The 26,227-nt window shown below is 41.9% G+C and overlaps 1 protein-coding gene, 1 long non-coding RNA gene and 1 pseudogene across 5 annotated transcripts in view, besides 4 other annotated features; 1 reads left to right on the top strand and 2 right to left on the bottom strand.

Moving 5' to 3' along the window:
• Nucleotides 13,759–24,107, bottom strand: LOC124902884 (uncharacterized). Its single transcript, XR_007063220.1, has 2 exons — nt 22,266–24,107; nt 13,759–14,503 (listed from the first exon to the last, which is right to left on the bottom strand). It is a non-coding gene; the product is annotated as an uncharacterized LOC124902884 (long non-coding RNA).
• Nucleotides 13,782–14,054, bottom strand: RPL30P11 (ribosomal protein L30 pseudogene 11; annotated as a pseudogene).
• Nucleotides 22,180–22,997: an enhancer, noted in NCBI's record as "H3K27ac hESC enhancer chr12:14518197-14519014 (GRCh37/hg19 assembly coordinates)". NCBI's record gives its function as "activates a minimal SCP1, AML or CMV promoter by ChIP-STARR-seq in naive H9 embryonic stem cells {active_cell/tissue: H9 hESC(naive)}" and the evidence as "EXISTENCE:reporter gene assay evidence [ECO:0000049][PMID:30033119]".
• Nucleotides 22,229–22,288: an enhancer, noted in NCBI's record as "active region_6044". NCBI's record gives its function as "activates an Ori minimal core promoter by ATAC-STARR-seq in GM12878 lymphoblastoid cells {active_cell/tissue: GM12878}" and the evidence as "EXISTENCE:reporter gene assay evidence [ECO:0000049][PMID:35858748]".
• Nucleotides 22,599–26,227, top strand: part of ATF7IP (activating transcription factor 7 interacting protein) — a 137,249-nt gene continuing 133,620 nt past the window's right edge. For all 4 annotated transcript variants that reach the window (NR_170893.1, NM_018179.5, NM_001286514.2 and 1 more), the window contains exon 1: nt 22,599–22,744. The gene's annotated coding sequence lies outside the window, so the exon portion shown is untranslated. The remainder of the gene's footprint in view (nt 22,745–26,227) is intronic.
• Nucleotides 22,759–22,818: an enhancer, noted in NCBI's record as "active region_6045". NCBI's record gives its function as "activates an Ori minimal core promoter by ATAC-STARR-seq in GM12878 lymphoblastoid cells {active_cell/tissue: GM12878}" and the evidence as "EXISTENCE:reporter gene assay evidence [ECO:0000049][PMID:35858748]".
• Nucleotides 24,175–24,314: an enhancer, noted in NCBI's record as "active region_6046". NCBI's record gives its function as "activates an Ori minimal core promoter by ATAC-STARR-seq in GM12878 lymphoblastoid cells {active_cell/tissue: GM12878}" and the evidence as "EXISTENCE:reporter gene assay evidence [ECO:0000049][PMID:35858748]".

The raw sequence follows: 26,227 nt of genomic DNA on the forward strand, positions 1-26,227 counted from the left end.
TAAAAATATTGATATTGGGAGTTAATTTAATTTTCCAAAAGTTGTGTTTTCAAAACACATTGGATGAGAGCTGTGATATGCAAATTATGCAGAATGCTTTCATGCCATTTTGACACAGATCTTTTATTGAGGCCATTTAGTGCTGTGACTATTTGGACTCTACAATTTTACTCCAGGTATTTTATACTCTAATCAATTATTTCATATTCTTCAGCTCAATACACAGCAGTTAAGCAGGAACACTGCTTAACATTTGTAAAAGAAAAGAATTATAAACAATCTAAGAAATTCCTCCAACAAAGGGGATGTCTGCTACATACATTATTTAATACAATTCTGTTACTTGGCTACATTTTTTTTTTAATTTGTATTTTAAGTTCAGGGGTACATGTGCAGATGTGCAGGTCGTTCCACAGGTAAATGTGTGTCATGGGGGGTTATTGCACAGATTATTTCATCACCCTGGTATTAAGCCTTGTACCCATTTTAGTTATTTTTCCTGGTCCTCTCCCTCCTCCCACTCTTCACCCGCTGATAGGCCCCAGTGTGTGTTGTTCCCCTCCATGTGTCCACGTGTTCTTATCATTCAGCTCACACTTATAAGTGAGAACATGTGGTATTTGGTTTTCTGTTTCTGCATTAGTTTGCTAAAGATAATGGCCTCCAGCTCCATCCATGTCCCTGTGAAGGAAATGATCTCATTCTTTTTTATGGCTGCATAGTATTCCATGGTGTATATGTACCACATTTTCTTTATTCAGTCTATCATTGATGGACATTTGGGTGGGTTCCATGTCTTTGCTATTGTGAATTGTGCTGCAATTAAATATACATGCATGTGTCTTTATAATAGAATGACTTCTATTCCTTTGGGTGTATACCCAGTAATGGAATTGCTGGGTCAAGTGGTATTTCTGTCTCTAGGTCTTTGAGGAATTGCTACGCTGTCTTCCACAATGGTTGAACTAATTTACACTCCTATCAATAGTGTATAAGCATTCCTTTTTCTCTACAACCTCACCAGCATCTATTATTTTTTGACTTTTTAATAATGGACATTCTGACTGGTGTGAAATGGTATCTCATTGTGGTTTTGATTTGCATTTCTCTAATGATTAGTGATGTTGAGATTGTTTTCTTGTTGGCTGCATGTATGTCTTCTTTTGAGAAGTGTCTGTTCATGTCCTTTGCCCACTTTTTAATGGAGTTGTTTTCTCTTGTAAATTTGTTTAAGTTCTGTATAAATGCTGGATATTATACTTTGTCAGATGCATAGTTTGCAAAATTTTTCTCCCATTCTGTAGGTTGTCTGTTTACTCTGTTGATAGTTTCTTTTGCTGTGCAGAGGCTCTTTAGTTTAATTAGATTCCACTTGTCAATTTTTGCTTTTGTTGCAATTGCTTTTGGTGTCTTTGTCATGAAATCTTTGTCCGTGCCTTTGTCCTGAATGGTATTTCCTAGGTTGTCTACCAGGGTTTTTACAGTTTTTACAGTTTTAGACTTAGGTTCTACACTTAAGTCTTTAATCCATCTTGGTTAATTTTTGTATATGGTGTAAGGAAGGGGACCAGTTTCAATTTTCTGTATATGGCTATTGGTACTTCTAAATGACATGCATATATCACTATCTCTATATTCACCATTTACTTATTATAGTAGCTTACTGATATGGTAGAATAGAATTCATCTCACTTATGCCCTTTTCCCTCTGCCCATTCTTCCAAACTATCCTTCTCTTTATTCTCCAAATAGATCTCTCTCATAAATCATTATGAAGTCAACATTCAGTATTTACATTATTAAAACCAGGTAAATATTATTTGCTCTTGAGCCAAATACTGTTCATGCTATTAGGGCCAGGAAAATATTATTTGCTGCTAACTCAAATAGTGCCCTATGATTATATTTTCTTTCTTCAGTAACTTTAATTTTCCTACAGGTAATTGGTTTATTTTTCATTAGTTTGTTGTTCTTTTCAAGAGAATTTCCTTCTTAAATCCTTAAACATCCTCTAAAAATGGCTTTTCACATGGCCCAATATATCAGATAACCTAGTATTTCCATTATTTCCCTCTGGAGATGCCTCTCGAGCACCTTGTGTTGCTCTCTGATCAGGATTTGTTCTTTTCCTTTGTATTTATTTTTTTATTTTTTTATTTTTATTTTTTGGGACGGAGTCTCACTCTGTCACCCAGGCTGGAGTGCAGTGGCGCTATCTTGGCTCACTGCGGGCTCCGCATCCCGAGTTCATGCCATTCTCCTGCCTCAGCCTCCCGAGTAGCTAGGACTACAGGCGCCCGCCACCATGCCCGGCTAATTTTCTGTGTTTTTAGTAGAGACGGGGTTTCACTGTGTTAGCCAGGATGGTCTCGATCTCCTGACCTCGTGATCCGCCCGCCTCAGCCTCCCAAAGTGCTGGGATTACAGGCGTGAGCCACCATGCCCGGCCTCCTTTGTATTTATTCTTAGAATTTTCTTCATCTCTCAATTGTATTGGGATCTCTTTTCTGAAACTCATTTTCTTCTTTTTGGTTTATGTTGTCACTTTTTGTAGATGGTATCCTTGATTAAGATTTCTGCAAAATTGTATATGAGAGGTAAATTTTTAAGATTTAGCAGATCTGAAAATGTCTGTATTCTAGCTTTATGTTTGTATATATATTTAGAGACAGAGTCTTGCTCTGTTGCCCAGGTTGGAGTGGAGCGGTGCAATCTTAGCTCACTGTAGCCTCAAACCCCTAGGCTGAAGCAATCCCCCTGCGTTGGCTTCCCAAAGTACTGGGATTACAAGAGTGAGCCATCGTGCCTGGACCCTCTAACTTCATGTTTAATCAATAGTTTAGTTAGTTACATAATGTTGAGCAGCATTTTTATTGAGTTTTGAGGGTAATGCTTCAAAATGCTTCAAAATTTCTTCTAGCTTCCAGTATTATAATTGAGAAATCCAGTATCATTTTTGTTTTGGATCCTGTGTATATGTGGCCTGTTATCCCCTTACTTCCACTTTACCACAAGCTTTTAGAATCTTCCTCTATTCTCAAGATCTTGAAATTTCAAGGTGATGTGCCTAGGTGCACGTCTCATAGTTTGTACTATTAGTGGACCCTTTGAATTTTGAGACTTCCTTCCGTCTGTTAGTGTGAAAGTTAATATAAGTGTCAACTTGATTGGATTGAAGGATGTGAAGTATTGTTTCTGGGTGTGTCTTTGAGGGTGTTGCCCAAAGCAGATTAACATTTGAGTCAGTGGACTGGGAGAGGAAGACCCACCCTCAATGTGGGTGGGCACCATCCAAGCAGCTGCCAGCATGGCTAGAATAAGTTGGCAGAAGAAGTTGGAAGAAGCTGGCTTGCTGAGTATTCAGCTTTTATCTTTCTTCCATGCTGGATGCTTCCTGACCTTGAACATCGTCTTCAGCCTTTGGACTCTTGGACTTACACCAGTGGTTTGCCAGGGACTCTTGGGCCTCTAGCCACAGACTGAAGCCTGCAATGTTGGCTTCCCTACTTTAGAAACTCTGGGACTCAGACTGAGCCACTATTGGCTTCCTTGCTCCTCAGCTTGCAGACAGCCTATCATGGGATTTCACCCTGTGATCATGTGAATTCTCCTTAATAAACTCCCTTTCATATGTACATATATCCTGTTGGTTCTGTCCCTCTGGAGAACCCTAACACAGTTAGATATTTTCCCTTTCTTTTCAACTATTAGTTAGACCTTGTAGACTGATTCTCTCCTTTTAAAAAATAATTTCTGGCCAGGTGCAGTGGCTCTTGCCTGTAATCTTAGCACTTTGGGAGGCTGAGGCGAGTGGATCACCAGAGGTCGGGAGTTTGAGACCAGCCTGACCAACATGGAGAAACCTCGTCTCTACTAAAAATACAAAATTAGCCGGGTGTGGTGGCACATACCTGTAATCTCAGCTACTTGGGAGGCTGAGGCAGGAGAATTGCTCGAACCAGGGAGGCAGAGGCTGCGGTGAGCCGAGATCGCGCCATTGCACTCCAGCCTGGGCAACAAGAGCGAAACTCTGTCTCAAAAAATAAATAAGTAAATAAATAAATAATAGGCTGGGCGTGGTGGCTCATGCCTGTAATCCCAGCACTTTGGGAGGCCACGGTGGGTGGATCACGAGGTCAAGAGATCGAGACCATCCTGGCCAACATGGTGAAACACCGTCTCTACTAAAAATACAAAAATTAGCTGGGCATGGTGGCACACACCTGTAGTCCCAGCTACTCAGAAGGCTGAGGCAAGAGAATCGCTTGAACCAGGGAGGAGGAGGTTGTAGTCAGCCGAGATCATGCCACTGCGCTCCAGCCTGGTGACAGAGCAAGATTCCGTCTCAAAAAAAAAAAAATCATAATAATAATTTCCTTTTTTTAAAACTCTGTCTTTAATTGTTTTATTTTACTGAGGATATTTATAATATCCCAGATCTTGCTCTTGCTCTCTGTGTTTTTTTATTATTGTGGTAAAGCATACATCAAATTTATAAGCTTAACCATTTTATTTATTTTTTATGTTTTTCTGGGAGACAGAGTCTTGCTGTGTCACCCAGGCTGGAGTGCAGTGGCGTGATGTTGGCTCACTGCAACCTCCACTTCCCAGGTTTAAGTGATTCTCCTGCCTCAGCTTCCCAAGTAGCTGGGACTACAGGCATGCATCACCATGCCCGGCTAATTTTTGTATTTTTTAGTAGAGAAGGGGTTTCACCATGTTAGCCAGGCTGGTCTCGAACTCCTGACCTTAGGCAATCTGCCCACCTCGGCTTCCCAAAGTGCTGGGATTACAGGCATGAGCCACTGCACCTGGCCAATTTTAAGCATTTTTAAATGTACAACTCGGTGGCATTAAGTATATCTACCATTTTTTGCAATCACCACTACTATCCATTTCCAAAATATTTTCATCATCTCAAACAGAAACTCTGTACCCATTAAACAATATTCTCCATTCCCCACTTCCCCCAGGCCCTGGTAAACTCTATTCTATTTTCCATCCCCATGAATTTCTTAATCTAGGTACCTTATCAGAGTGGAGTAATTCACCATTTGTCCTTTTTTGTCTGGCCTATTTCACTCAGCACAATGTTTCCAAGGGTCATTCATGTTGTAGCATGTAGAAGAATTTCATTCCTTTTTATGGGTGAGTAATATTCCATTATATGTACATACCATATGTATTCATTCATCTGTTGATGGACACTTGGGTTGTTTCCACCTTTTGGCTATTGTGAATAATGTGCTACAAACACTATGTACAAAGTAAGTCTTTAAACCTCTGAATTCATTTTTTAATACATATATATATACACACACCTAGGAGTGGAATTACTGGATCATATGGTAATTCTGTGTTTAACTTTTTGTTAACTGCCAAGCTGCTGTCCATTTTTTTTCACTTCCTTGCCAATACTTATTTTACCTTTTCCTTTTTTAAATGACAGCTCTCTTAATAGGTGTGAAGTGGTATGTTATTGTGGTTTCCATTTGCATTTTCCTAATGAGCAATTAGGAAAGCCATGTACATGAAGTGACTTTTTATTTATTCATGTCTTAATTGTCTTATTTAATTTCAGCAATGTTTTGCAGTTTTCATTGTACAAGTCTTCGGCCTCCTTGGTTAAACCTGTAAGTACTGTATTCTTTTTCATGCCATTGTAAATAGCTTCTATTTTAGGTAGAATTTTTATCTTTTTTTCCCCATGGTTACAATATGAAAGAAATATACTTCCTTCAAATGTATCCACTTTATTCTATCCTGTCTATCCATACTTGAGCAGCATATTACCTATTACTACACCTATACTACTATTTAAAATGTTGACAAGAACTATAATGAGGGCCAGGTGCAGTGGCTCACGCCTGTAATCCCAGCATTTTGGGAGGATGAGGCGGGTGGATCCCCTGAGGTCTGGAGTTTGAGACCAGCCTGACCAACATGGAGAAACCCCATCTCTACTAAAAATACAAAATTAGCTGGGCTTGGTGGCTCATGCCTGTAATGTAATCCCAGCTACTTGGGAGGCTGAGGCAGGAGAATTGCTTGAACCCAGGAGGCGGAGGTTGCAATGAGCCAAGATCATGCCATTGCACTCCAGCCAGGGTGACAGAGAGAGATTCTGTCTAACAAAAAAAAAAAAACAAAAAAAAACAAAAAGAACTGCAATGAATGTAGAGTCCTGTGCTCACCAATAAGGATAAGGACTTCCATTCATATTGACTGGCAGCAAAATGTGGAAGGTGACTGAATTTATCATTGCAGAAGTTTAGGTATTCCACACATGTTGACGAGCCAGCATTGTTTGCAAGATATAAAAAGAAACATGTCATAAAATATTGTATATTTATTCCATTAAGCATTTTTGTCTTCATCTCTGCAATATCACAAAATGTTGCTAAAAATCAAGATTTTTACATAATTTTAGTTCTAGTGAAATTATAGCAAAATTAGGCAACTTTTCTATAGATAATTATAGTTCTTAGGTAGTTCATTTTTCCCACAACTTTCCATTTTGATTAACTTAATTGTGTTGTAACACTTAGAGTTGTCAAAAACATTGTTAAGGTATATTTAGTTTAAAAAAAAGAATGAAGATATTTACATACTGTGTTCACACTATAATGTGGTCCATATTTTAAGTTATTCTCTCTGAAAATATTATAAAATACCTTACTTTCATTAATCATTCTCATATTGAGATTTCCACAATTTCTAAAAACAATATTTAGATCCATGTAGTATTTCTTACATTCTTTCAAAATTTTCATTTTGTCTTGCTTTAAAACAACATAATATGTGGCACTGTCCTAATAATTGCCTGTGTACTTTATTGTGTGCAGATGATGTTTTGCAATAAATAATTGATTCTTCATTTAATAAAGAATATAAGATTGCAGTGTGCTGGGGTTTTAATATGTGTCCCAAACTTCATGTGTTGGAAACTTAATTTCCAATTCAACAATGTTGAGACGTGGGTGCTTTAAGAGGTAATTAGGTCATGAGAGTTCTGCCCTCATGAAGTGTGATGCTATTATATCAGGAGTGGGTTGGTTATTGAGGGAATGAGTTCCTGATAAAAGGATAAGTTTGATCTCTCTCTCTCACTCTCTCAATGTCTGCATGTGCGCTCTTGCCCTCTGCCATCTAGCATTGGATGATGTAGCCAGAATGCCCTCAACAGATGAGGACCCCTTGATCTTAGACATCCCCACCTTCAAAACTGTGAGAAATAAATCTCTGTTCTTTATAAATTCCTTAGTCTCAGGCATCCTGTTATTGCATCCCAAAATGGACTAAATGAGAAAATTGGTATTAGAAGTAGGATTGTTGTTATAATAAATACCCCAAAATAAGCAAGTGACTTTCAAACTGAGTAATGGGTAGAGGCTGTAAGAATTTGGAGAAGCAGGTTAGAAAGAGCTTAGATTTCCATGAATGGAGTTTTAAAGGCAATTCTAGTGAGGGCTCAGAAGAAGCTGAGCTTTTGAGAGATTCTAAATCATAGGGATTAGTTAGGTGGTTGTGATCAGAATACTGGTAAAAATATGGATGGTAAATGCCATTCTGACAATATCTTAGATGGAACTGAGGAAGAAGGTACTGGAACCTGGAGTAAATGTCATCCTTTTTGTATTAGTCTGTTCTCATGCTGCTATAAGAACTGTCCAAGAATGGGTAATTTATAAAGGAAAGAGGTTTAATTGACTCACTGTTCCACATGGCTGGGGAAGTCTCAGGAAACTTACAATCATGGTGGAAGGGGAAGCAAACATGTCCTACTTCACATGATGGCAGCAAGAAGTAGGAGCAAAGGGAGGCGGAAGTTTTTTTCAATAAAACCATCAGATCTTGTGAGAACTCACTATCATCAGAACAGCATGAGGGTAACCTCCTCCATGATTCAATTACCTCCCACCAGGTCCCTCCAACAACATGTGGGGATTATGGAAACCACAATTCAAGATGAGATTTGGGTGGGGACACAGTCAAACCATATCATTCTTCCCCTGGCCCCTCCCAAATCTCATGTCCTCACATTTCAAAATGCAATCATGCCCTTCCAACAGTCCCCCAAATACAAATTCTTAACTCATTCCATCAACTCAAAAGTCCAAGTCCAAAGCCTAATCTGAGACAAGGCAAACCCCTTCCACCTATGAATCTTTAAATTTACTTCCTAGATACAATGGGGGTACAGGCATTGGGTAAATATACCTGTTCCAAAGGGAAGAAATTGGCCAAAACAAAGGGGCTACAGTCCCATGCAAGTCCAAAATCCAATAGGGCAGTCATTAAACCTTAAAGTTCCAAAATGATCTCCTTTGACTCCATATCTCACATCCAGGTCATGCTGATGCAAGAGGTGGGCTCCCAAATGACCTTAGGAAGCTCTGTCCCTGTGGCTTTGCAGGGTATAGCCCCCCTCCCAGCTGCTTTCATAACTGGCATTGAGTTTCTGTGGCCTTTCCAGGCACACAGTGAAAGCTGTCAATAGATCTACCATTCTGGGGTCTGGAGGATGGTGACCCTCTTCTCACAGCTCCACTAGGCAGTGCCCCAGTGGGGACTGTGTGTGGTGGCTCCAACCCCACATTTCCCTTCTGCATTGCCCTAGCAGAGGGTCTCCATGAGGGCTCCACCCCTGCTGCAGACTTCTGCCTGGACATCCAGGCATTTCCACACATCCTCTGAAATCTAGGCGGAGGTTCCCAAACCTTAATTCTTTTTTTTGAGATGAAGTTTAGCTCTTGTTGCTCAGGCTGGAGTGCAATGGCGCGATCTCAGCTCACTGCAACCTCCGCCTCCTGGTTCAAGTGATTATCTTGCCTCAGCCTCCCAAGTGGCTGTGATTACAGGTGGTGCCACCATGCCCGGCTAATTTTTGTATAATCAGGAGAGACAGGGTTTCATCATGTCGGCCAGGCTGGTCTCAAACTCCCTATCTCAGGTGATTCACCTGCCCAAACCTCAATTCTTGACTTCTGTGCACCTGCAGGCCCAACACCACATATAAGCCACCAAGGCTTGGGGCTTGCACCCTCTGAAGCAATGGCCTGGGCTGTACCTTGGCCCCTTTTAGCCACAGCTGGAGCTGAAGCAGCTGGGGCTCTCGAAACCATGTCCTGAGGTTACATAGAGCAGTGTAGTCCTGGGCCTGGACCATGAAACCACTTTTCCCTCCTATGCCTCCAGGCCTGTGATGGGAGGGGCTGCCTCAAAAGTCTCTGACATGCCCTGGAGACATTTTCCCCATTGTCATAGTGATTAACATTCAGCTTCTCATTACTTATGCAAATTTCTGCAGCTGGCTTGAATTTCTCCCCAGAAAATGAGGTTTTCTTTTCTATCTCATCTTTAGGCTACAAATATTCCAAACTTTTGTGTGCTGCTTACTCCTTTTTATTTGTTTTTTGAGATGGAGTTTCACTCTTGCCCAGGCTGGAGTGCATAGTGCGATCTTGGTTCACTGCAACCTCTGCCTCCCAGGTTCAAGCAATTCTCCTGCCTCAGCCTCCCAAGTAGCTGGGATTACAGGTGCACACCAACATGCCCTGCAAATTTTTGTATTTTTAATAGAGGTTCAAAACGGGGTTTCACCATGTTGGCCAGGCTGGTCTCAAACTCCTGACCTCAGGTGATCCACCCGCCTTGGCCTCCCAAAGTGCTGGGATTACAGACATGAACCACTGTGCCCAGCCATTCTGCTTCCTCTTGAATACTTTGCCACTTAGAAATTTCTCCCACTAGATACCCTAAATCACCTCTCTCAAGCTCAAAGTTCCACATATCTCTAGGGCAGGGGCAAAATGCCACCAGTCCTTCTGCTAAAGCATATCAAGAATCACCTTTATTCTAGCTCCCAACAAGTTACTTGTCTCCATCTGAGACCACCTCAGCCTGGACTTCATTGTCCATATCACTATCGTCAAAGCCATTGAACAAGTCTCTAGTTAGTTCCAAACTTTCCCACATCTTCTTGTCTTCCTCTGAGCCCTCCAAACTGTTCCAACTTCTGCCTGTTACTCATTTCCAAAGTTACTTCCACATTTTCAGGTATCTTTACAGCAGCATCCCACTCTCTGCAGTAGCAATTTACTGTATTAGTCCATTTTCACACTGCTATAAAGAACTGCTCGAGACTGGGTAATTTATAAAAGAAAGAGGTTTAGTTGACTTACAGTTCCACATGCCTGGGGAGGCCACAGGAAACATGACTTTTAATGGCAAAAACCCCAATTATCTTTGCACCAGCATAATACAATCACAGTGGAACAGTAAGCAAACACGTCCTTCTTCACATGGCAGCAACAAGGAGAAGTATGAGTAAAGACGTGGAAAAGCCCCTTATAAAACCATCAGATCTCATGAGAACTCACTATCATGAGGGTAACCAACCCCATGATTCAATTACCTCCCACCGGTCCCTCCCATGACACACAGGGATCATCAGAACTACAATACAAGATGAGATTTGGGTGAGGACACAGCCAAATAATGTCTCTTGTTACACAGTTGTAAAAATCTTGGTGGAATTATGTCCATGTCCTAGGACTTTGTGGAAAGCAGAACTTAAGAGCAGTGAACTAGGGTATCTGGCAAAAGAAGTATCTAAGTAGCAAGGTATTTAAGGTGCTACATGGCTTATTTTGGCCACTTTAAATAAAATGAGCGAAGAGAGGAACGATTTGAAGACAAAATGTATAATTAAAAGAAAATCATAATGAAAAGATTTGGAAAACTCAACCTGTCCATGTATAGAACAAAGAAGCATGTTTAGGAGACAAGACTAAGAGCATGGCCAAGCAATTATTTGGTAAAGAGATTAATATGGATAGAAGAAAGCCAGATTCTATTCATCAAGACACTGGAAAAATGACCCCAAAGGCATTTCAGAGATCTTTGAGGGAAGATAAAACCTTGAATGCACCTCTCCCTCTCCCTCTCCCTCTCCCCCTCCCTCCCTCCCCCTCTCCCTCTCCCTCTCCCCACGGTCTCCCTCTGCCTCTCTTTCCACGGTCTCCCTCTGATGCCGAGCCGAAGCTGGACTGTACTGCCGCCATCTCTGCTCACTGCAACCTCCCTGCCTGATTCTCCTGCCTCAACCTGCCGAGTGCCTGCAATTGCAGGCACGCGCCGCCACGCCTGACTGGTTTTCGTATTTTTTTGGTGGAGACGGGGTTTCGCTGTGTTGGCCAGGCAGGTCTCTAGCTCCTAACCGGGAGTAATCTGCCAGCCTCAGCCTCCCGAGGTGCCGGGATTGCAGATGGAGTCTTGTTCACTCAGTGCTCAATGTTGCCCAGGCTGGAGTGCAGCGGCGTGATCTTGGCTCACTACAACCTCCACCTCCCAGCCGCCTGCCTTGGCCTCCCAAAGTGCCGAGATTGCAGCCTCTGCCTGGCCGCCACCCCATCTGGGAAGTGAGGAGCGTCTCTGCCTGGCCGCCCATCGTCTGGGATGTGAGGAGCCCCTCTGCCCGGCTGCCCAGTCTGGGAAGTGAGGAGCGCCTCTTCCCGGCCGCCATCCCGTCTAGGAAGTGAGGAGCGTCTCTGCCCGGCCGCCCATCGTCTGAGATGTGGGGAGCGCCTCTGCCCCGCCACCCCATCTGGGATGTGAGGAGCGCCTCTGCCCGGCCGCGACCCCGTCTGGGAGGTGAGGAGCATCTCTGCCCGGCCACCCCGTCTGAGAAGTGAGGAGCCCCTCTGCCCGGCAGCCGCCCCGTCTGACAAGTGAGGAGCCCCTCCGCCTGGCAGCCACCCCGTCCGGGAGGTGGGGGGGGCAACCCCTGCCCGGCCAGCCACCCCGTCAGGGAGGGAGGTGGGGGGCGCCTCCGCCTGGCTGCCGCCCCATCCGGGAGGTGGGGGGGCGCCTCTGCCCGGCCGCCCCTTCTGGGAAGTGAGGAGCCCCTCTGCCTGGCCGCCACCCCGTCTGGGAGGTGTACCCAAGAGCTCATTGAGAACGGGCCATGATGACGATGGCAGTTTTGTCAAATAGAAAAGGGGGAAATGTGGGGAAAAGATAGAGAAATCAGATTGTTGCTATGTCTGTGTAGAAAGAAGTAGACACAGGAGACCCCATTTTGTTCTGTACTAAGAAAAATTCTTCTGCCTTGGGATGCTGTTGATCTATGACCTTACCCCCAACCCGGTGCTCTCTGAAACATGTGCTGTGTCCACTCAGGGTTAAATGGATTAAGGGCGGTGCAAGATGTGCTTTGTTAAACAGATGCTTGAAGGCAACATGCTCGTTAAGAGTCATCACCACTCCCTAATCTCAAGTACCCAGGGACACAAACACTGCGGAAGGCCCCAGGGTCCTCTGCCTAGGAAAACCAGAGACCTTTGTTCACTTGTTTATCTGCTGACCTTCCCTCCACTATTGTCCTATGACCCTGCCAAATCCCCCTCTGCGAGAAACACCCAAGAATGATCAATAAAAAAAAACAAAAACAAAAAACAAAAAACCTTGAATGCAAGGTTTCCAGTGAGACACCTGAGGGACCTCAGCATTCATTGCCCTGTGCTACCTTGAGACTTTGTTTCTTGAACTCTAATGCAGTGCTCCTCACCTATCCCCGCTGTGAGTCAAGTGAGGTTAGCTGGCTGAAACCACTGCTCCAAAAGGTACAAGCCATAAACTTTGGTAGTATCCATGGAGTGCTAATTCTGCAGGAATACAGAATGCAAGAGCTATGGGGCCATAATGGCCTCCACCTAGACTTCAAAGAATGTTGTAGAAAGCCTGTTGTAGGGGCCCAGGCAATTACTTATCTTGGGCAGAGTAATTGTAACAGCCCCCACTAGAGTAATACTTTGTGGCACGGGAGTGGGACAGCCCTCAAAGTCACAGAACTGTAGAGCCACCAGCATGCAGCTCCCATCTTTCCCAGCCTAGGAAAGTTGCAGGCAGGAGTCTCCAACCTGTAAGAATTGATGGTTGGACTAAGCCCAGCAAAGCCATAGGGGTAGGGCTGCCTACATCCCTGGAGGCCCAGCCCCATGCCCTCAAGTGTGCCCAGGATATGGAGCATGGAGGCAAAGATTATTCTCCAGCTTTAAGACTTAATGTTGTTTTCCCTGTTAGATTTTGGACTTACCTGGGAGCTGTTACCCCTTTCTTTATGGCTATTTCTCCCTTTTTGAAGGGGAATGTCTATCTTACGCCTGTCCCACCATTGTATTTTAGAAGCATGTTACTTGTTAATTTCACAGGCTCACAGCTGGAAAGGAATTTGCCACAGAATGAATTGTGCCTTGAGTCTCACTCATAGATGAGTCAGATGAAACTCTGGACTTTGCTCTCACAAGTTTTTCTTTCCTTTCCTTCCTTTTCTTCTCTTCCCTCCCTCCCTCCTTTCTCTCTCTCTTCTTTTCTTTCTTTTTCTTTCTTTCCTTCCTTCCTCCCTCCCTCCCTTCCTTCCCTCCTTTCTTTTTTTTTCTCTCTTTCTTTCTTTCTTTAATTTGAGATGGAGTTTCGCTCTTGTTGCCCAGGCTGGAGTGCAATGGCGCAATCTTGGCTCACTGCAATTTCTGCCTCCCGGGTTCAAGCGATTCTCCTGCCTCAGCCTCCGGAGTAGCTGGGATTACAGGCATGCGCCACCACACCCGACAAATTTTGTATTTTAGCACAGATGGGGTTTCTCCATGTTGGGCAGGCTGGTCTCGAACTCCCAACCTCCGGTGATCCGCCCGCTTCGACCTCCCAAAGTGCTGGGATTACAGGGTTGAGCCACTGCACCCAGCCTTCGCAAGTTTCGTAAAAGAAACATTTTGCATCATTTACTTTTCACCAATCTGTTTGGCATGCCTCTAATGATATCAGAATCACCTGGATCAGTGTGCACATACTCTGCAGTATTTTCTGCACATTGTGTCCAATTCAATATTATTGCCACTGTAGTAATGAACACCACTTTTGGCCAACATGGCACAGTATCCTATTTTGGATTTCCTCAAAGTGGGGCAGTTGTTGGTGAGCATAATCAATTTCACTTTGCCTTGTCTGATCACCTTTGGAGTTTGCTTGTACCCCAGCACATACTTTACACTTTCTTTGTTTTTGTTTTTGTTTTTGACATGGAGTCTCGCTCTGTTGCCAGGCTGGAGTGCAGTGGCGCGATCTCGACTCACTACAATCTCCACCTCCCGGGTTCAAGCCATTCTCCTGCCTCAGCCTCCCAAGTAGCTGAGACTACAGTTGCGCACCACCCCGCCCAGCTTATTTTTGTATTTTTAGTGGAGATGGTGTTTCACCACATTGGCCAGGATGGTTTCGATCTCTTGACCTCATGATCCACCTGCCTCGGCCTCCCAAAGTGCTGGGATTACAGGCGTGAGCCACGGTGCCCAGCCTACTTTCTGCCTTTCATAATGAGTTGGAGCCTAGAGTTGATTGACACCAATGACTTTTTCATCTTCTTTAGAGCCATCATCTTTCTTTCTTAGGTGTGGGATGACCCCCAACCAAGAGCAGCTTCAGGGCTAGGTGTGGTGTCTCATACCTAAAAAATACAAAAAAAAAAAAAAAAAAAAAAAAATTAGGCATGGTGGTGCATATCTGTAATAACAGCTACTCAAGAGGCTGAGGCATAAGAGTCACTTGAACTCTTGAGGCAGAGGTTGCAGTGAGTTGAGATTGCGCCACTGTACTCCAGCCTGGGTGGCAGAGCAAGACTCTGTCTCAAAAAAACAAAAACAACACAAAAACAAAAACTGTAAAGAATAAAAGTGAGTAGACTTCTCTCAAGCATTAACCACATAAAATCTGTGAAAAGGATATTATACAATTTTTATTTAATGGAAAATTAATCACTAATCAAAGCAAGAACATGAGAAATGGTAATTCCCTCAAATCTTCAACCATACAAGTCAATTGAAATCCCTGTGCCTCAGTCCATTTTGTGCTGCTATAACAGGATACCTGGGAGGCAGTAATTTATAAAGAACAGATTTATTTCTTACAGATCTGGAGGCCGGGAAGTCTAAGGTTGAGGGGCCTACATTTGGCAAGGGCCTTCTTGCTGCGTCATTCCATGGTGGAAGGTGGAAGGGCAAGAGATCATATGCACATGTGCATATTGAGAGAGAGAGAGCTCCAACTTTTTTTTTTTCTTAGACAGAGTCTTACTCTGTCGCCCAGGTTGGAGTGCAGTGATGCAATCTCAGCTCACTGCAACCTCCGCCTCCTGGGTTCAAGTGATTCTTCTGCCTCAGCCTCCTGCGTAGCTGGGATTACAGGTATGCACCCCCACACCTGGCTAATTTTTGTATTTTTAGTAGACACAGGGTTTCACCATCTTGGCCAGGCTGTTCTTGAACTCCTGACCTCGTGATCCACCCACCTCAGCCTCCCAAAGTGCTGGGATTACAGGCGTGAGCCACCGTGTCTGGCCATCAGGAGCCTACTATTAAAAGAGCCAAACTACTCCCAAGATAACAGCATTAATTCATTTATAAGGGCAGAGATTTCATGACCTGATCCCCTCTTGAAGGTCTCACCTGTCAACATTGTTGCATTGGGGATTAAATTTCCAACACTGAATATGAAATTTGGGGGACATATTCAAACTATAACATTCTGTTCCTGGCTCCCCAAATTTATGTCCTCGCATGCAAAATACATCCATTCCATCCCAATAGCCTCAAAGTCTTAACTTGTTACAAAACTAACTCACAAGTCCAGAGTCTCAGGCATGGTGGCTCACGCCTATAATCCCAGCACTTTGGGAGGCTGAGGCAAGAGGATCACTTGAGCTCAGGAGTTCGAGACCAGCCTGGGCAACATGGTCAAAACCCACTTCCTAAAAAAAAAACAAAAAAGGGCCAGGTGCGATGGCTCATGCCTGTAATCCCAGCACTTTGGGAGGCTGAGATGGGTGGATCACGAGGTCAGGAGATCGAGACCATCCTGGCTAACGTGGTGAAACCCAATCTCTACTAAAAATACAAAAAATTAGCTGGGCATGGTGGCGGGCACCTGTAGTGCCAGCTACCCAGGAGGCTGAGGCAGGAGAATGGTGTGAACCCAGGAGGTGGAGCTTGCAGTGAGCCGAGATGGCGTCACTGCACTCCAACCTGGGTGACAGAGTGAGACTCCATCTCAAAAAAAAAAAAAAAAAAAAAGAAGAAGGCCCAGAGTCTCACCTGGCATCCCGGCTCTGCCCCGAAGAGCTTTGCATTGTGGAAACTCCTTTCTTTCTCACTCCCTGGCCATCTTAGACAGCTGCTCATTTAAAAATATCTTTTGTGGGGACCAGGACAGAGGTCCCTCTTACCTAGCTAAAACTGCAATACCAGTTCTATACTTTTCAGTGAGTCCTAGTTCAATATCTTCTAATAAGAACCATTTCACCTATTTAGGTAGCCTATCTATGTTGGAAGATGGTAATGATGCCCTTTCCCTTCTCTAATTACTTCCTGTATTAGTTTTTTATTGCTGGGTAATACATTACTACAAACTTAGTAACAAAACAATACACATTTATAATCTCACAGCTTTTGTGGGTCAGGAGTTTGGGCCATAGGTGTATCTTCTGCTCAGGGTCTCAGAGGCTGCAATCAAGGTGTTACCTGGGTTGTATTTTCATCTGGGGGCTTGGTTGGAGAAAAATCTAAATTCATTCAGTTTGTTGGTAGCTTTTATTTCCTCAGGACTATATGACTGAGGGACCGGGCTTTTTTTTTTTTTTTTTTTTTTTTTTGCTCCTGGTTGTCTGGAGCCTGCTCTCAGGTCCTAGAGGTTACCCAAAGAACCTACAGGCCACTTGTGGTAACCTTCCATATAGGCTTATTCAACATGGCTGCTTTCTTCATCAAGCAAGCAAGGAAAAGTTCTCTCCTCAGGGAGGATCCAGCTTCTTTTCAAAGGGCTTTTACCAGATTAAGTCAGGTCCACCCAAGATAATATCTCTTTTGGTTAACCCCAAATCAGTTTATTTGGTTCTTTATTACATCTGCAAAATTCTTGGCTAAAAGCAAGTTACAGGTTCTGCCCTCGCTCAAGAGAAGAGGATTATAGAGACTGTGATCACCAGAAGGTGAGGATCATGGAGGTCATTTTCCTATTCTCAAGAGTTGTTTCTTAAGTTTTTCCAAATTTGCCTATTTAACACCTCATTCAACTTCTCTGCAAGTTTGAGGACAATAATAAAAATGATCAGGTTGTTGTTGATTCATCTTCTCTCTTAATGGGAGGGTGGGGAGTACTGATAGAAACTGTTCAAGCTGAACTATGTATTAGTACTACTCCTACAAGTACTACTATTACTACTACTCTTAGATAATATTTATTGGGCCATCACTATATATCCAGTATTACTCCAAGTATTTTACCAGAATTTAGTCTTCATAATAACCTTAAGAGATCAGGGATATATATAATTTTTTTTTTTTTGAGACGAAGTCTCTCACTTTGTTACCCGGGCTGGAGTGCAGTGGTGCGATCTCGGCTCACTGCAACCTCCACCTCCCAGGTTCAAGTGATTCTCCTGCCTCAGCCTCCCGAGTAGCTGGGATTACAGGCGCCTGCCACTACGCCCAGCTATTTTTTTTGTATTTTTTGTAGAGACGGGGGTTTCACCATGTTGGCCAGGCTGGTCTTGAACTCCTGACCTTATGATTTGCTGGCCTCAGCCTCCCACAGTGCTGGGATTACAGGCGTGAGCCACTGCGCCTAGCCATATTTTTTTTATTTTTATTTTGGAGACTATCTCACTCCATTACCCAGGTTGGAGTGCAGTGGCCCAGTCTCCCCTCACTGCAACCTCCACGTCCCAGACTCAAGCGATCCTCCCACCTCAGCCTCTCAAGTAGCTGAGACCACGGGCATGCACCACCACACTGGGCTAATTTTTATATTAATTAATTAATTAATTAATTTTTGATTCCGAGTCTCACTCTGTTGCTCAGACTTGAGTGCAGTGGCACCATCTTGGCTCACTGAAACCTCTGCCTCCTAGGTTCAAGCGATTCTCCTGCCTCAGCCTCCCGAGTAGCTGGGATAACAGGCATGCACCACCACACCTGGCTAACTTTTGTATTTTTAGTAGAGACGGTGTTTCACCATGTTGGCCAGGCTGGTCTTGAACGCCTGACCTCAAGTGATCCGCCCACCTTGGCCTCCCAAAGTTCTGGGATCACAGGCATGAGCCACTGCACCCAGCCTAATTTTTGTATTTTTTGTAGAGACTGGTTTTGCCATGTTGTCCAGGCTGGTCTGGAATTTCTAGGCTCAAGTGATTCACCTGCCTCTGCCTCCCAAAGTGCTGGGATTACAGGCATGAGCTGTGCTTGCTCGGGAGGGCTATTTTTATCATCCCCATTTTATAGACTGGGAAACATTTGCGTAGAGAATTTCAGGACACTAAACAAGTAAGAAGTAGAGCCAAGGTTTCAATTCAGGTAGTAAGCCTTCAGAACCTGAAAGCACTAGATTAAGCTTCCTGTTTTATTATTTTGTACTCAGAAACTTCAGTTTTCCATTTCAATGGCTTTTCGGAGTTTATGCTGTTTTTCTTTTTTTTTCTTTGATATGGAGTTTTGCCCTTGTTGCCCAGACTGGAGTGCAATGGCATGATCACAGCTCACTGCAACCTCTGCCTCCTGGGTTCAAGCAAATCTCCTGCCTCAACCTCCCAAGTAGCTGGGATTACAGGCGTGGGACTAATTTTATATTTTTAGTAGATATGGGGTTTCAACATGTTGGTCAGGCTGGTCTCGAACTCCTGACCTCAGGTGGTTCACCTACCTCGGCCTCCCAAAGTGCTGGGATTACAGGTGTGAGCCACCGCGCCCGGCCTATGCTGTTTTTAAAAAGTTCTGTTTTCTTTGTTCAGTTGCTACAACTGAAATGTATTGGTTTATATTTATTATTTTAGTTTAGGTCTTTTTTTTTTTTCTTTTTTTGTGAGACAGGTTCTATGATCCTACTTTACTCTAGCACTTTTTCCTAGGAAAATTATATTTAGCCTGTATCATTTTAGCCTAAATATACCAATAAAAACATAATGGTAGATAAAATATGAAAATCCTTTTGTACTAACTGGTAAGTAGCTGCCCCATCCTACCACACCCTTCATACCACCAAGTCAGGCTCAGTCCCCAGCTGAAGAGCCTCTGGACCTCTTCAAGATCCTACAACTAAAGAATTAACACCTGACAAAATAGGGTGGGGGGAGGGAAGTCTTCAAGCCTGCTTCCATTCTGATTGGTCAGTGATATAGGGATTGATAAATATTTTAAATGTGGTCCTACCTAGAAGTCTTAAGTTCAGCTTTTTTCATTCTTCATTGTTTTTGTATTTTCTGTTATTTTCTAACTTGAATACTTTCTTTTGTACCTAGTCTGACAGCCTAGGTACAAAGTTCTACATCATAAGTCAGGTCAAGTATCACTTCCTCTGTGAAGTTTTCCCATATAGTATGAGGAAGATTTAGGTTCTCTCATTTTAGAATTTTTTTATGCTTAAGACATACCACCAAAATATTAATGATCTCATAATGTTTATCTGTATTTACAACTCTTTCCCCATGAGAAACAGTGTCATTTCCTTTGGGCATCCCCAGTGCCCAGAATAGTTTGTGAGACATTATAAATATTGTATTCATTGAACAAATCAATGAATAGTTGATTAGGTCAACCAGCGGGTTTGCATGGCTGAAGAGACTGTAACTGTGGTTGAGGATATCTGAGGAGATTCGAATCCAATAAAATTGTCTAGTTGGAGTCTTCAGGAGGCAAGTCTAGAATATGAGCATATCTAAGAAAACTGATAAATCTGTGGTTATGCTGAATTATTTTTCCATTTGCTATTAGCATGGATAATCAAGAATAGACTATCATAGGCCAAGCATGGTGGCTCATGCCTGTAATCCCAGCACTTTGGGAGGCTGACGTGGGCAGATTACCTGAGGCCAGGAGTTCGAGACCAGCCTGGCCAATATAGCAAAACCCCATCTCTACTGAAAATACAAAAAATTAGCCGGCCGTGGTAGAGTGTGCCTGTAGTCCCAGCTACTCAGGAAGCTGAGGCAGGAAAATCGCTGAACCTGGGAGGCAGAGGTTGCAGTGAGCTGAGATCGTGCTACTGCACTCCAGCCTGGGCAACAGGGCAAGACTGTCTTAAAAAAAAAAAAAAAAAAAGAAAGAAGGCCAGATGTGGTGGCTCACGCCTTTAATCCCAGCACTTTGGGAGGCCGAGGCGGGTGGATCATGAGGTCAGGAGTTTGAGACCAGCCTGGCCAAGATGGTGAAATCCTGTCTCTACTAAAAACACAAAAATTAGCTGGGCGCGGTGGTGGACGCCTGTAATTTCAGCTACTCAGGAGGCTGAGGCAGGAGAATTGCTTGAACCCGGGATGTGGTGGTTGCAGTGAGCTGAGATCACGCCACTGCATTGTAGCCTGGGCAACAGAGCAAGACTCTGTCTCAAAAAAAAAAAAAAGAATAGACTATTATAAAAATGATTCTTTTTTATATGCTTACAGAAGACATAAAAAGAGAAACATAATGGGCTCTAGTATTCCAATCCAATTTCTCTTATTATTATGGAGTGTAACATTTAATATCAATATTTCTAATTTTCTGAGCATCTACTTATAATTGAGCACTGATGTACTATGAAAATTATAATAAATAAATTATAATTGAGCATCTATAATTTATTGAGTATATGCTAAGGACTGTGCTAATGATGTTACAACATTTAGCGATTAAACAATGCAAATTTAATTGTGTTATATCCCGACTTAAAACCTTTTAAATGATTCCTCATTGCTGTCCCAATGAGGTCCAACTTTTAGGCAAAAAATTAATTAAATCATTTATCATGATAGAGATGACCTCTTCTAGGAAGGCTTTTCTAATTCTCTAGGTCTGGATTAGGTGATATTTCTTTTTTTTTTCTTCGAGATGGAGTCTCACTCTGTTGCCCAGGCTGGAGTGCAGTGGCGTGATCTTGGCTCACTGCAACCTCTGCCTCCCGGGTTCAAGTGATTCTCCTGCTTCAGCCTCCCGAGTAGCTAGGACTACAGGCGCGTGCCACCACGACTAGCTAATTTTTTTTTTTTTGTATTTTTAGTAGAGGCGGGGTTTCACCATGTTACCCAGGATGGTCTCGATCTCCTGACCTCATGGTCTGCCCGCCTCGGCCTCCCAAAGTGCTGGGATTACAGGCGTGAGCCACTGCACCCGGCCCTAGGTGATATTTCTAAAGGCCACCTTATATTTTAAGTAAATTGAATGGTTCCAGTTATAAAAATAAGTATTAACAACCCTATTCTAATTTCTTATTAGTTACAAAAATTTCTTGTTCAGTTTTCTGTCTTCTTCACTAGAGTACAGATTTCTTGAGGACAGGCACCTAACAGATCTACAACACAGTGATTGCTAAATAAATACTGAACCAATACATTCATATAATGAGAAGTTACATAAAAAAACAATAACCACACGGTACCATCTAATATTATTTTCAGGCTATTCTTGCCTTGCAAAACATATGTACTTTTATTCTTTTTTTTTTTTTTTTTTTTTGATAAGGGGTCTTGCTCTGTAGCCCAGGCTGGAGTGCAGTGGTGAGATCTTCGCTCACTGCAATCTCGGCCTCCCAGGTCCCAGTTCAAGCAACTCTCCTGCCTCAGCCTCCTGAGTAGTTGGGATTACAGGCACGCACCACCATGCCTAGCTAATTTTTGTAATTTTAGTAGAGACGGGGTTTCACTATGTTGGCCAGGCTGGTCTTGATCTCCTGACCTCAGGTGATCCACCCCCCCTCAGACTTCCAAAGTGCTGGGATTACAGGCCTGAGCCACGGCACCTGGCCAAAACATATGTACATTTATTCTATCATTTAGTGCTTCCAACCTAGTTCAACTATAGTCATGATTGCCATTATACAGGTGAGAAAACTGAGTAACACACTTATTCCGAGGAACCGGCAAGGAAGCTGCAGTAGTTGAACTTGAACCCAGATCTCTTAACCAGTAAGGCAGTGACTTGTCCACTACCTCCTGTGGAATTCATTAAAGGCCGACTCCCAGCATGAAATTGAATAAATGGGATGAATACAACTTCTGGTGAGAGAGTATGATAAAAAGTGCTTGCTCTGTTACCAAGCAACTGAAAGAAAGTATGTTTTTTTCATTCCTTCATTATTAATACAATTCAAAGTACATTCTGTGAATTTAAAACATAAATGATGAATAAATCAACATACTCCTGGCTTTTATGAAAATCTTTCCCTCTGCTCTTTAAACTCTCACCTACCTCCTTCCTTCTTTCTTTTCTAAGCCTCATAGAGGGCGCTCACAAAGTGCTACTTATTGATTGAGGAAGATCCACTCAAAAAACACACCTCACACTGCAACTGAGAGACGCAGCGCCACCACCTCGGGCTTCCTTCTCTTTTCCACGCAGGAGGCGGGGCCAATGTCCCTCATTCAAATAAAAAACCAGAATTTGCATGGGGAATGGCTAGTCCTTGAGCTTATTGGCTGATAGCACAGTGGGCGGGGTACATAGCACGACCCCCCGGAGCCCCGCCCATATTAATTTGCATAACGGCCCCGGCGCGTGCAAGGGAGAAGCGGGTTTGTTTTTGAATCTGCGGAGGCGGCGGCGGTGGCAGCGGCGGCGCGGCGACTGAAGCGCGCGAAAAGCTGAGGCGGCAACGTCGGGGACGGCTGCGCGGGACGGCTCTGTAGGAAGGAACTTGGTTCCCCCTCCCTCAGCTTCCGCCCCAAAAGGTATATGTGAATCCCAGGGGCTGTTAAAACCACATTTTCTTAAATTACTATTGTATTTCTGAAGAGTCAAGACCGCATTATGGCGGCTGCGGGAGTTGTGTCTGCGCCTGCGCGGTTGCGGAGCTGCGGGCGGCGCTGCATGGGAGCACGTGATCTTGCGGGGTCGGGCTCTAGCTGCAGTTGTGCAGCTGGCGGGGCGGTGGCTGCGCAAGCGCAATATTCATTTTCAAGATCTAATGTTCTTGTTGGACGCCATTTGGGTTCTAGATTTAATTTTCCTCGTTCTTGAGGGGTTTCTTTGTGTTAACCTTAAATTCTCACAATTTTCAAGAAAAACATTACTCTAATGTTGTACTCCTGGGCCGACCTCAAGCTCTTCTCTGTTTTTTCGATTTTTTGAAAAATTGTGGACTTAATTTTCTGTAAAAATGATTTTCATTTGTGGTTCTTGATTATAATTTCAGTTTTAAAGTATTACTGGATTCAGGTTTATATTTACGGTGGTAAAGATCAGCACCTAGTGGTGTTCTCACGGGAAGTGCATTTATTTGAACTGCATATTTGCAAATACATTTTTAACCCTATTTTTACCTGTTCTGTTATGGATGTGTGGAATGTTTACAAAACAGAAACAATTTTAGTTTTGGGAATATTGGGGGAACGGGAATAGTGGAAGAAATTACAGTATAATCGAAAATGAAATCTCAATCTGAGGATTATTTTGGTTTTAAATGTTTGATCCTAAGTAAATAAAGTTTTAATTTTAATCAGTTTGTATGTTTCTGGGCATTTGAATTTTACATGTTTTAAGTTTCTTAGGTGACTTGTTCATTACTGCTTCAGCTAGATTATTGTTACTTTTGAAATTAATCAACTCATTTTCTTAGCATTTTTGTTTGCTATGATATGTAAGCTATAACATTTATTTGGTAAATTTTTCTGATGAAGAATTCTAGAAAGAACATCCATTACCCTGAGGCCTCTTTGAAGAAAGTGGACCATTAATAAAAAAAATCTGTTTTTTTCTTTTAAACACTGTACTGTATGCATGTGTGTAAGATACAGTTGTGTTTGATTTTTTAATTGTAAGTGTGCTCCTGGTTTTATTAATAGTTTTTTAGGGAAGGTAATTATAAATATGCTACTGATTAGTTTAAAATGGTAGTGTCAACTATAGTTAAATCTTATGTAACACAATTGGGGGAAGTTATATAAGATTTGATATGATTCTCCCGTTGTGCAAATTCTTTCTTACTAAGCAAAGAAACTTGCAAATGTTTTCCATAGACTTCATTTGTGGTTCATATATACAACAACTGGTTTCTTGGTTGGTTATAACTCTTTAAGTTTGAATCAGTCTACTGTCAAATGAAGACGTGCCTCTTGCTTTATAATCTCGGTTAATTTAGGGAAATTTTTATTGCCTAAAACAAATACCATTAGTAAATATTACCTAGATGTAATTGAAAGTAATACTTTTGGTTGGTGGATTTTTAAATGACGTCACATATGAGATAGAATGGAGGTAGGAAAGATTCTTCTTTTTTTCTCAAGAGAATATTTGACCTGATGTAATTCTTGGATCTCTGAGGTCTTCTACACAGAAGTATATTTAGAGAGCAGTTGTGTAATTTTCTCCCTTTTATGTTTCTGGAGTGGTTACCTAGCAGCCCCTTTCTACCACATGCTATTTCAGGCATTTTCGAGTTGAACATACACATAAATATTTCGGTTAACAAAAGAACTTTGATCTTTGATCTTAGGGCATGGTACACTTTACATTTCCAGAAAAATGAAATAGTTTGGTGTATATAAGCGTATGTTTTCATTTGAATATACAGATGATTGCTTTTTAGGTTAATATTGAAGGTAGTAAGAGGTATTTGAAAATGCTCTTGAATATGAAGAACATATTTATTGATGGGACGATTTTGCTGTCATGTTTCTTACAAGGCAGATATAATCATGTAAACTTAATAAGATTAATTAATTGCCTGAACACCAACTATTTGTTTATTAGTACTTTGTCAATAACAAGTATATTTTAAAATTTTAGTTTGGTGGTTATGATGCCACAAAATTTTGACACATATCCAACATATATAAATATTAAGACTAGGTTACTCCAGGAATGAATACCAAGTTACTGAAGTTATTTAAAATCTTTGTAGTTTTGTAAATTTAAAAATTTATATGTAGTTTAGAAAAGACAGGTTTGAGTTATTAAACAATTAGAACTATTTTTTCTTTAAATTAGGTTTTGCATATGTGATAAATGTATTTAAATATTTTTAAACTTATTCATTATAGAACATTTGGAAAATATTGAAAATTAATTAACAATGCTTAGAAATAACCACTCTAAAGGTATTGGTGATTTGTGACTTCACTTTTCCATGATTGAGCAATCTATAAATGTTTATTAATTAGTTTTTCATTGGTACCATAATTTCATTTCTACTCTTTTAATGTTATGAGTATTTTCCCATTTCATTATTCTTCTAAAATATGTCTTTAAATGGTTGCATGATACTTTATTATAATATCCCACATGATCAAATGTTCTTTTTAAACACATTTTAAAATGGTTACATATTATTGTTATCTCTAAGAAGAATTTACTGTGATTTATTAAACCTTTCATTTTTTGTTTCCTGTTTTGCTTTTTGCTCATTTCTCTATTAAAAATAATGCTACAGTGAACGTTCTTGTACTATACCTCAGAATATTTCTTTGAAATTACTTTCAAAGGACTTTTAAAGTAATTTGCAAAATTGATAAAAACTTTTTTTTGAAAAGCATTTTTTATCATATTCAATACCACCATCAATTAGATGGGTGAAAAATAGTAGCTCATTAACTTTTTTTGATAACTAGTGAAGTTGAATTTGTTATTGTTTTATATATGCATTTTTTTCATTTTCTGTGAATTAGCTGTTTGACTTTTTGTGTATTTTTCTATGATGAGTGTTACTGTTTTTCTTATTTGTTGGTAACAGCTACTTACGGCTTTGGGGTCCTTAGCTTTTAATATTTGTCACAGTAATTTTAAAATTACCTTTTAAGTGGTTTATGATTGTATATGTTAAGAAGTTTTGCATTTTTATGTAGTAAAATGTACTGCCCCCCTTTTTTTTTTTGAGATAGGATCTTGCTCTGCTGCGCATGCTAAAGTGCAGTGGCAGTGATCTCTGCCCACTGCAGCCTCGACCTCCCAGGCTCAAGCAATTCTCCCACCACTGGAGTAACTGAGACTACTGGTGAAGGATATCACACCCCGCTAATTTTTTCTTTTTTTTTTTTTTTTAATAAACAAAGCCTCATTATGTTGCCCAGGCTGGTCTTGAACTCCAGGGGTCAAGAGAGTTTCCCACTTCAGCCTCCCAAAGTGCTGAGATTACAAGCATGAGCCACCATGTCCAGCCTGTACTGCCTTTCCTTTTTCCTTTATGATTTCTACAGCACTTGTCTGCCCAGAAAATA

Source organism: Homo sapiens, chromosome 12 (genome assembly GCF_000001405.40).
Source record: "Homo sapiens chromosome 12, GRCh38.p14 Primary Assembly".
NCBI classification, from domain to species: Eukaryota; Metazoa; Chordata; class Mammalia; order Primates; family Hominidae; genus Homo; species Homo sapiens.